The 12,078-nt window shown below is 41.0% G+C and overlaps 1 protein-coding gene across 7 annotated transcripts in view; it reads right to left on the bottom strand.

Annotated features, from left to right (window-relative positions):
- ARSF (arylsulfatase F) overlaps positions 1-12,078 on the bottom strand; it is a 72,494-nt gene that overhangs the window by 20,601 nt on the left and 39,815 nt on the right. For 4 of the 7 annotated variants that reach the window (NM_001201538.2, NM_001201539.2, NM_004042.5 and 1 more), the window contains exons 5-7: positions 11,114-11,236; positions 7,461-7,884; positions 2,495-2,631 (exon numbers count right to left, since the gene is read on the bottom strand). In NM_001201538.2, the coding sequence (NP_001188467.1) occupies positions 2,495-2,631; positions 7,461-7,884; positions 11,114-11,236 (684 nt within the window). The remainder of the gene's footprint in view (positions 1-2,494; positions 2,632-7,460; positions 7,885-11,113; positions 11,237-12,078) is intronic. The other 3 variants (XM_011545524.2, XM_017029528.1, XM_011545523.2) reach the window with 2 other exon arrangements.

Here is a 12,078-nt window from a genome sequence, read left to right as displayed (position 1 = left end):
CCTATCATCTATCTATCTTATCTATCAATCACCTATCTTATCTGTCATCTATCATCTGTCATATGTATCATGTACTTATCTATATATCTATCCATCTATCATCTATATATCTGTTTATTCATCTTTCTATTCATGTATCCATCTATAATCTATCAATCTATCATCTGTCTCTCTGTCATCTATCATCTGTTTATCTATGTATCTATCTCTCAATCATCTATCTTTCTATCGATCATCTATCGTCTATTTATCATCTATCTATCATCCATCATCTATCTATCTACCTATCATCTATCAACTATCAGTCCATCATCTATCTATCCATCTATCATCTATTTACCTATCATCTATCTATCCATCATCTATCTCTGTCAATCATCTGTTTCTATACATATGTACACAAACACTACAGACACAGACACACACACTTATACCTACATAAACATCTATTCATGTTCATGTATTTGGTTTGAATATTATTTATATTTTTAAATACTTCATATTTTTTATGTGTTTAAGACTATGCAAATTGGCTTTGCTTTTTCCAGGCTTAATTTTCCAAAGCGTCTTTCTATTTAGTGACATATATTTCACAATATCTGTGTCTGGAAAATATTATACTTTAAATTTGTGTCCTGCATATATGTGAGTTTCACTCATGGTTTTCTTTCATTAATGTTGGAAAATTAAAGCCATTTTGCTAATCAATACATTTACCATGTAAGTCCTAGGACGTCCCATTTACATTGTTCTCTCTACAGGATGAGTTCATGAGGGTACTGGATTCTGACTTACCAGTTAATTCCCAATCCCCAACTAAGATATTGGTGCTCAACAGACCTGAAATAAAGTTTGGCTATGTCACTAAAGAGTCTGAAAATATGATTTCTCTTTCTATCAAAAAGATATGTGGGCTGGGTGCAGTGACTCATGCCTGTCATCCCAGCACTTTGAGAGGCTGAGGCAGGCATATTACCTGAGCTTGGGAGTTCAAGAGCAGCCTGGGTAACATGGAAAAACCTTGCCTCTACAAAAAATACAAAAATTAGCCGGGCGCAGTAGCATGTGCCTATAGATAGCCCCAGCTACTCAGGAGGCTGAGGCAGGAGAATCGCATTAGCTCAGGAGGCAGAGATTTCAGTGAGCTGAGATCATGTCATTGCACTTCTGCCTGAGTGACAGAGTGAGATCTTGTCTCAAAAAAAAAAAAAGACATGTGCACTCATATGTTCATCACAGCACTATTCACAAGAGCAAAGACATAAATCAACCTAGGCACCCATCAATGGTGGATTGGATAAAGAAAATGTGGTACGTATACACCATGGAATATTACACAGCCATAAAAAAGAACAAGATCATGTCCTTTGCAGCAACATAGATGCCGGTGGTGGACATTATCCTATGCAAATTAATGCAGACATAGAAAACCAAATACTGCATGTTCTCACTTATAAGTGGGAGCTACTGTCACCCAGACTGGAGTGCATGGAGTGCAGTGGTGCAATCATGGCTCACTACAGCCTCAATTTATGGGCTCAAGCAATCCTCCCGCTTCAGTCTCCTAAGTAGCTGGGACTACAGGCACATGCCACCACACTCAGCTAATTTTTGTATTTTTGTAGAGACAGGGTCTCACTATGTTGTCCAGGCTGGTCTCAAACTCCTAGGCTCAAGTGATCCTCCTGCCTCAGCCTCCCAAAGTGCCAGGATTACAGATGGAAGCCACTGTGCTCAGCTGGACTTTTGTTAAATAGATTTTAGCTGATCTTGTCACAAAAAAGTAACAGTGTGAGATGATAGATACATTTGCTTACTATATTACTATTACTTAATATTACTATATTATGTTACTTAATGATTACTATTTGCTTCACTATAGTAATCATTTTACTATCTATACGTATCTTTTAACGTCACGTTGTGAATCTTAAAATACACAATAAAATTTATTTTTAAAAATGAAACAAAATAAGTGGGAGCATAACATCAAGTATATGTGGACACACAGATCAGTACAATAGATACTGGGGACTACTAGAGGGGTGAAGGAAGGAGTGGGGGAAGGGTTGAAAACTAACTATTGCGTGCTATGCTTAGTGTCCGGGTGAAGGGTTTGATCATATCCTAAACCTCAGCATCACGTAATACACCCAGGTAAAAAACCTGCACATGTACTCCCTGAATCTAAAACAAGAGTTGAAATTTTTGAAAAGAAGATTTGATTTGTTATCTGGCCAGCACTGGAGACGCAGTCAAGTAGACAAAGACCCAAGTTGATAAGTGGACAGCATGCAAAGAAAGGAGAGGAAATGCATATAGTTTTTTTGCTGACTTTCTCAATTGCTAGCAACTATTACCTCATTAATGTCTCAGACCACTCTGTCCCATAGGCATAATTCTCTTCACTCTACAGGTTGACCAAGAGCAGTTTTCAGGTGTCCTGTCCTATCAGAACACGTTAGTTTCTGTCCACTTAAGTCCTGTGACTTACCCACCATGGAGTCCATCTCTTCCACATTATCCCCATACAAGCCATGCTTGCTGGTGCCAGTGAAATCGTCCGTGGTGGGGAGAGGTGTGTGCACGTGAAGAAAGGAGAAAAAGAGAAGGAAAGTTTCCTTACTGTGCCTGAGAAGACATCAATGAAACTACTTGTGAGTTTTCAATATCTATGAATGTGAAAACTATTGTTTTGGCTTCTCATAGACATGACCTGCTTCCTTCTTCTCCAAGCTGCAGAAGATAGAGTGGGTCCACCCAAGGGCCCCATCCTGCATAGAATGGACTCCATGATCCTGCAGCACCTCAACTGCTCCCTAACCCCTTTGGTAATGCTACTGAAACCATCTCTATAAACTTCATAAAATCAATCAGAGAGGAAGGGAGCGGGAGAAACAAAATGAACTAAGCTTGCAGCATACTCAGCTTTGATCCTGAGGTCAGCTTGCCCTCTCATCTATGTATTCCTACTTGTTTGGTACCTATTTGTTCTAGAATCGCACAGATCCTGTTACAGGATGATAACATAACATCATGAAATGTTAAGTTTTCCATTTGCAATAATCTTTCAGGTTGTGCATACCAGGGAAACTGCTGATGTCTGCTTCTCTGAAGGACCCTATGAGAAGCTGACTTACCAAAGCATACCATTTCCATATTCTGATGATTCCATTCCCTCTTACCCCAACCCATCAGTGACCCCAAGACCCTCCATGATTCCCCTAAAAAATCCAGCCCAGAACTCCTTGGAAGGATGGGTTTGAGGACAGGCACAGTGGCTCACGCCTATAATCACACCACTTTGGGAGGCTGAAGATGGCGGATCACCTGAGGTTAGGAGTTTGAGACCAGCCTGGCCAACAGGGTGAAATCTTATCTCTACTAAAAATACAAAAATTAGCCAGATATGATGATGGGCTCCTGTAATCCCAGCTACTGGGGAAGCTGAGGTGGGAGAATCGCTGAACCCAGGAGGCAGAAGTTGCAGTGAGCTGAGATTGCACCACTGCGCTCCAGCCTGGGCAACAGAGTGATACTCAGTCTCAAAAAAAAAAAAAAAGATGGATTTGAGGTCTCCTCTCATGTTCGCACTAATTGCCCTGCAATTATTAAACCTTTCTCTGCCATAAACCCTGCTGCCTCAGTGTATTGGTATGTTACTGTGCAGCAGGCATATGAACCTGGTAGTCCTGTGACACCATCACAGTTCCTTTGATTCTCAGATGCCAGGACAGCTGTAGAATATACTGCAAGCCAACACGGACCTCCCATATCATGCGAGTGCGAAAAGTCAAATCCAGCTCTGTTTGGTGGATGTTCTCACTGCTCGTGAAGCCTCAAACTAGGGTCACACCCTGAGATACATCAAGAGACAGTGGTATGGAAGTCATTTCTTAGCCAGATCAAGAGTTTCACGAGCCATAAGCCAGTACAAACAGGAATGCCTTGGCAAGCCATTTGCACCCTGTAGGTTCTCACATGAGGATACAGGGAACTAGGCTGACCCGCTGTTAATTTTGATAATCCATCTGCATGAATGATAAGTCCTCAGCTACCCAGGAAAACACACAGCACAAATGCCATTCGTTGGGAAATTTCTGCTCTGGTGAGATATCAAAATATAAAGAAATAAAAAAAATGAATTTTAAAAACAAGACTTATGTCATGGTGTCTTGAACAGTGACCCCTCAAAATTCACGTTCACTTGAAACCTCAGAATGGGACCTTATTTGGAAATGGGGCCTCTGGAGATTTAATTACTTAAGATGTGATCATTCTGGATTAGGATGAGTCCCCAATCCAATAATGTTGTCCCTATAGGAGAAGAGGAGACACAAGCACAGAAGAAGAGGCCATGTGGAAATGGAGTAATGCAACCACCAGCCAAGGGGCATCTGGAGCCACCAGGAGCTAGAGGAGGCAGAAGAGATCCTCCCCTAGAGCCTCCAGAAGAAACTGGATACAATTGTAGTAGTTTGAATAGTAGCCCCCAGAAATATAAGTCCATATATTTTAAAGCCCAGAACCTGGAATGAGACCTTATTTGGATATCAAGACCTTTGCAGAGGTAATTAATTAAGGATCTGAAGATGAGCTCATCCTGGAATTAGGATGGGCACTAAATCCAATGACTATTGTCGTTATAAGAGACAGAAGATGAGACACAAACACAGAGGGGAAGGCCATATGCAGATGAAGCAGAGACTGGAGTGATGCGGCTACAAGCCCAGGGATGCCTGAAGCCACCAGGAGTGGGGAAGGGCAGGAAGAATCCTCCCCTAGAGCCTACAGAGGAAGCACAGCTCTGAACATTAAATATTTAAAATTAAATAGTTTGCATCCCAAACTAAGCTGCCAAAATAAAGAGTCGTGGTCAAAGTGATCAGCTGAATAATGCCCCATTCCAAAGATATCCACATCCTCATTCTCAAAACCTGTGAACATGTGATATTACATGGTAAAAGGTTTTTGCAGATGGGAATGAATTAAGGATCATGAGACAAAGTGATTATCCTGGGTTATCTGGGTAGGTCCAGTGGAATCAGAAATGTCCTTTTATAAGAGAGATGCAGAAGGGTCTGAGTCAGAAAACAAAACCCTACAAGCTAAAGAATGCAGGCAGCTTCAAGAAACTAGAAGAAAGAGAAAACAGATTCTCCCCTAGAACCCCTAGAAGTAACTAGCCCCACCAACATCTTGATTTTAGCCCACAAGTTTAATTTTGGATTTCTTACCTCAAGAACAGCAGAATAATAACTTTGTGTTGCATTAGGCCACTACATTTGTGGTAATTTTTTTTATTTTTTAAGACAGGGCCTCACTCTGTTGCCCAGACTGGAGTGCAGTGGTGCAATCACGGCTCACTGCAGCCTCAACCTCCCAGGCTCAACTAATCCTCCCACCTCAGCCTCCTGAGTAGCTGTGACTACTGATGCATGCCATCATATCCAACTAATTTTTTTGTATTTTTTGTAGAAATATGGCTCCCATATGTTGCTTTGGCTGGTCTCAATCTCCAGAACTTAAGTGATCGCTTACCTCAGCCTCCCAAAGTGCTGGAATTACAGGCATGAGCCATTGGACTCAGCCCTATAGTGATTTGTTATAGCAACTGTAGGAGAGTCATACACTGAGAATCCAGATAAAAATAGTTTTGAGCATTCATGAACCTAAGCCATGAGCTTATTGTCACAACGTCCAAGTCTTTATATTTCCTCTTCACCATTGTTTTTTCCATTCAATATTGTGTTATTGTGGATCATATGGAACTTTTGAAACTCGACAGAGGTTTTGGTGAACAATGTACATCTCAACCATAGGATCTGTTCTTCAAGTACTCATGTAAATTCCTAAGGAGAACTGTGTGGGAATGTTTGAAGACGAACTGGCAGACAGAAGAGAATAGGATTGCTTATCATATACTTTCAGAGTGGTTGGTGCTAATTTGCACATATTGATGCTCTGTCTGTAAAAATTCATAGAACTCTGCACATTTGGAAAGGTACCAGGGAACAGAAAGATTTGCTCTAAGTGACACCAAGCATTCAGTTGCATCTACAGAGCAAGTATGGCTTTATTACTCCCAGACAACATTTTTTTTTTTAAGACAGAGTCTCCCTCTGTTGCTCAGGCTGGAGTGCAATGGCGTGATCTCAGCTCACTGCAACCTCCGCCACCCGGATTCAAGCGATTCTCCTGCCTCAGCCTCCCAGCTAATATGTATTTTTAGTAGAGATGGCGTTTCACTATGTTGGTCAGGCTGGTCTCAGATGATCCACCCTCCTCGGCCTCCCAGAGTGCTGAGCCACCGCTGCCAGCCCCAAACTACATATTTATCACCTTCACTTGGGCTACAGAGTGAGGACAAAGCTATGTACCAGAGTACACAAGACACCTTACATCCTGAAAATCCAGATCCTAGAATGGCTATTGGTAAAGATTAAGCCTCAATCAATATGGAAAAAGCAAATGAAAAAATGTGTTTACAGGCTTTTTTTAAAGAAAGAAGGTCCAACAACAAGAGGATAGATACCCTTGAAAATTTCCAGTCATTGTGTTCTGGATGCATAAAGTTTTTATAACAATCACCTTTGACCATTTACCTCATCCAATTCATGAAATAGCCCTTACGTATCACATGCTCAAAGAGAAGCCTTCTGATTTTAATTTCCCCAAGTAGCTTTTTTTTTGTTTTTTAACAACAGGAACATAATGCAATGGAAAACTTACTTTTTTCATCTGATTTCCAGATATATATATATATTTATCTATATGTATCAGGGAACCAGACAAAAAATATTATAAAATATATTATATATATACATATATAGTATAGTATATACATATTGTATATGTACATATTCCCTGTTGTAAGTTAACATGATGACAAGATGCATTGTAAATTAACGTAAACAATTTGTGAGTTTAAGTTACTAGGGTCTGCGTCCATGGTCTGACAACATATAAATTTCAGAGCCAATAGAGAGGCCATGATTTTAATAACAGGAGCCCAAACAAGGTACCACCGCTTTAGGTACCAACTGAAGAGTCCAACTGGTCTTCAATACACTTCATATTTTTATCTAACCCTATTACACCATTTAGCAATATTCCATTTCCTAACTCAATATTTTTAATACCATCATCCCCTATTATTTTTATTAATGCATTATAGATGTGCATAGTTTAAGAGTACACGTTACAATTTAATACATTCATATAATTTGTAAAGAATTATTACAAATGATTTATTTTTTCAAATCAGTGTAATTGGGGTGTCCATCACCTTAAATATTTGTCTTTTCTTTATTCTAGAGCCATTTGACTTATTCTCTTTTAGCTATTTAGAAGTGTACAATAGATTATTATAAACTACAATCACCCTACAGATCTATCTAGGTCCTTTTAAAAAAGAGATCATTATCATTATTACATGAATTTGTAATTATTCCGCTTACCTTTCTAAAAAGGAAATCGCTTCCTTCACCATAATGGATCCAGCTCGTTCAGCCTTCATGGGCTGCTCCGTGATCTCGTGCCCCCGCATGAGGAGGCAGTCCCAGTATAAAGGGGACGTGTGGCTGGAGAACCAAGCATAGCCCAAGAGGAAAATAAACAGAATCATGGAGAAGATCAGGAGCCAGGGAACAGAGACCCAGCCGCTCAGCTTCCCAAAGGTTAGGGTGAGGATGGCAATGGCAACTAGCTGCACACAGAGCCAGAGCTGACTCTCAAAGGCTAATTCCGTGTTACGAGAGGGGTCCGGCCAGCAGCTGTCAACGAGAGTGAACGGCATGCCATAGTAGTAGTCAAACCCATAATTATATGGATGGTGGCACTGGTCACTTCGGGAGTCGCAGTTCAAGCCTTGGTGCCATTTGCCTAAAACCAAACACACAAACACATCTACGCATCAATATGTCAACATATGCCAGCACATTGCAAAAACCATGTGAGCATTCTTCACGTGAAACAATCAGCTAATACACAAAAATAAAGTAGCAGAGATATTCTCCTTCCTCTAAAAAATCCGAGTGCCACTTAGCCACATTTTTTTTGTTCTTCTTTAGTTTACAGAGGAAGTTTGTATTCAGATCCGGTTGTGAGCAACAGGATAGGATAAACAATAAGGGAGAAAAATAGAATTGTGAGTTTCTGTCAATGACGTGAACTAGAAATTTTCTCATTCACTGAGAAGACAAAGTCATAGCCACAAAGATAGAGACATCACAGAGGCAAGGCAGGTTACAGATGATGGAAGAATAGATACACCGCAGAGACAAGGCAGGTTACAGATGATGGAAGAATAGATACATCACAGAGACAAGGCAGGTTATAGTTGATGGAAGAATAGATGTATACATAGATAGAGCTAGCTAGCTAGCTAGAGATGATAGGTAGGTAGATATATAGATAGATAATATGTAGACAGAAAGATAGGTAGATAGACAGATGAACAGATGCATATGTAGATATAGCTAGCTAGATAAATAGAGATGATAGAAAGAAAGATAGATGATAGATAATATGTAGACAGAAAGATAGGCAGATAGATGATAGAGATAGAGTGAGTGGTTGGATGGATGGATGGATGGATAGATAGATAGATAGATAGATAGATAGATAGATAGATAGATAGATAGGATAGAGGAGAGGAGAGGATAGGACAGATTCAAATAAATGACGGAGGATAGATGGAGCATGTATAGATGTGTGTGTAGGTGGATGGATGGATCGATAGATGACTAGCTAATTAGATAGATGCACAAATAGATCTGTGTTGTGGGTGGATGAATAGACAGATGGGATATGATAGATAAAAATAAATTATGGTGTATACATCTATGTATACATATGTGTATGTATATATCAATAGAGAGATAGATGTGATAAATATGATAGATACAAATAAATGATGGATGGATAGATGGGGCATGTATGTATGTGTAAGTGGATGCATGGATAGATAGGTGGGTGGCTGAGTAGGTGAGTAGATAGGTGGATGGAGATCTATGGGTGGATAGATAGATAGGATAGATGAATAGATAGATAGATAGATATGATGGATAGATGGATTGATAGATGAATGGATAGATAGATAAATAGATGATAGAGATAGAGTGAGTAGTTGGATAGATGGATAGATAGATAAATAGATAAGATAGGATAGGACAGATTCAAATAAATGATGGAGGATAGATGGAGCATGTATATATGTGTGTGTAGGTGGACAGATGGATACCTGGATGAGTGGGTGATTAGATAGAGAGATGCATGAATAGATCTGTGTTGTGGGTGGATGAATAGACAGGTAAGATATGGATAAAAATAAATTATGGAGTATGCATCTATGTATACATATGTGTATGTATATATCAATAGAGACATAGATGTAATAAATATGACACGTACAAATAAATGATGGAGGACAGATGGAGCATATTTGTATATGTAGGTGGATGAAAGGATAGATGGGTGAGTAGACAGATAGATAAATAGACAGGGATAGAGATATATGGGTGGATGGGTGAATGGATAGAGAGATGTCTAAATAGATGAATGAATGGCTAGATAAATAGACAGATATAGATGATGGATAGATAGATACATGATAGATGAATGAGTGGATGAATAGATTATAGATGATAGATAGATGATGGGTAGATAGATTCATAGATGATAGATAAATGATAGATGATGGATTGATCAATAGACAAACAGGTAGATAGATAGACAGGTAGATGGATGGATAGATGCATAGAGATATATGGGTTGATGGATGGATGGAGAAAGAGAGAGAGATGACCGATGATAGCTATAGATAAATCATGGAGGATGGACCAGCATGGATGGATGAATAGCTGGCTGACTGCAAATCCTAGGGGCTCTCATTAAAACTGATCGAAGTAAGGGACTTATTCAGTAAAACGTACCACACCTTGAATGATCACCAAAGGGTGCCTGTGAGTCCTGCTAGCATGTGGATGATCAGCAAACCCTCAGAGGCTGCGATAATGTGTATCTACTAGGAATATTAACAGCTTCCTGTATGTGGTGAGGGCCCCATCAAGAATGCCTGTGCTTCCATCAACCTCTGAGTGCCTGTGGGGATAGGTAGAGGAGAGGCAGTGCTACTGGCTTAGGCTTCCTGTCCTGCAACCCCACGGAGATTGCCTTCTCTTATCAACAGCAGATGTATTACAAAAATTGAAGGGATTTAAAACAGCATGTTATTCTCACACCAGCTGAAACCCAGGCTTCCCAAACAGGAATAGTAGTTGGAGTTCCAACTACTGGGTGGCTGAGGACTTCTATCATCCTTGGCAGTGAGAAGAAAATCTGTGTGGTCCATTTTTAGTGAAATAAAGAGGCAGATGACAGGATACACGGTGAGAGACTATGCGGGCAGGCAGAGCCAGAAAAATTTTATGTTCTTGTAATATATTCATTTTAAAACATCTCCTATCACTGAGCTGTGTGAAGAATCAGACTAGGTGTGGTGGCTCACATCCATAATCCCAGCACTTTGGGAGGCCAAGGCAGGCAGACCACTGGAGGCCAGGAGTTCAAGACCAGCCTGGCCAACATGATGAAACCCCATCTCTACTAAAAATACAAAAATTAGCCAGTCGTGGTGGCACGCGCCTGTAGTCCCAGCTACTTGAGAGGCTGAGGCACAAGAATCCCTTGAACCCAGGAGATGGAGGTTGCAGTGAGCCGAGATTGTGCCACTGTGCTCCAGCCTGGGTGACACAGTGAGACTCCTCTGTTTTAAAAATAATAATAAAGAAAAGAAGTCCTGCCACAAGTAATCCTCCCACCTCAGCCTCTGGAGTAGCTGGGACCATAGGCACATGCCACAATGCCTAGCTAATTTTATATTTTTAGAGACGGGGTCTTTCTATGTTGCCCAGGCTGGTCTGAAACTCCTGGTTTCCAGCGATCCTCCCACCTTGGCCTCCCAAAGTACTGGGATTGTAGGCATGGGCCACTGCGCCTTTACATAAGACATTGTAAAATACAGCGTTTCCAAGAAAGTCATAAATCAAGGGTAGAACAAAGGACATGATTACCTTATGATCAATGACTAACACCAATTCTTGTGTCTTACCTATAAGCCCCGTGCTGTATCCTTGCTTCTTTAGCAAGGCTGCAAGTGTTGTCTCATTAAGAGGGAGGCCTGCGGGGACTGCAAGATTTTGGATGACACGTCTATTACCACTAGAAACCATACCTAGATGTAGTGTGGAAAAAAGTACAATGAGTAGGTGTTGCTACAGAGGGAATATTTTTGTCACTACAAAATTTGCACATTGAAATCCTCATCTGCAAGGTAATGGTTAGGAGGTAGGGCTTTTAGGAGGGGATGAGGTCAGGAGGGTGGAGCCTCAAGAATGGAATCAGTGCCCTTACAAAAGGGACCCCAGAGAGCTCCCTCACCCCTTCCACCATGTGAGGACACAGCAAGAGGGCGCCGTGTATGAACCAGGAAGCAGGTCCCCAGCAGACACTGAATCTGGCATGCCTTGATCTTGGACTTCCAGCCTCCAGAACTGTGAGCAGTAAATGTCTGTTGTAGATAAGCCTCCCAGTCTATGGTATTTTTGTTATAGCAGCCCAAACAGACTAAGAAAAGATCTTTTTTTTTTTTTGAGATGAAGTCTCGCTTTGTCACCAGGCTGGAGTGCAGCAGTGCCATCTCAGCTCACTGCAACCTCCACCTCCCAGGTTCAAGTGATTCTCCTGCCTCAGCCTCCCAAGTAGCTGGAACTATGGGTGCACGCCACCACACCCAGCTAATTTTTGTATTTTTAGTACAGACGGAGTTTCATCATGTTGGCCAGGATGGTCTGCATCTCCGGACCTCATGATCTGCCCGCCTTGGCCTCCCAAAGTGCTGGGATTACAGGCATGAGCCACTGCACTCAGCCAAAAAAGACCTTTTCTTTCTTCTCGTCCAAAGTCAGTGTCAGCAGACTGGCAGTAGGGTTGATACGTGCGATTTTATTCTGCCTCCAAGAACCGCTATCTGGAATCCACATAATTTGGCATTAAACTGCGGCATCTGTACCCACA

The sequence above is a fragment of the Homo sapiens genome, chromosome X, assembly GCF_000001405.40.
Source record: "Homo sapiens chromosome X, GRCh38.p14 Primary Assembly".
NCBI lineage: Eukaryota > Metazoa > Chordata > Mammalia > Primates > Hominidae > Homo > Homo sapiens.
The sequence above is the reverse complement of the archived record's forward strand: the minus strand, read 5'-3'. Positions and strand labels throughout refer to the sequence as shown.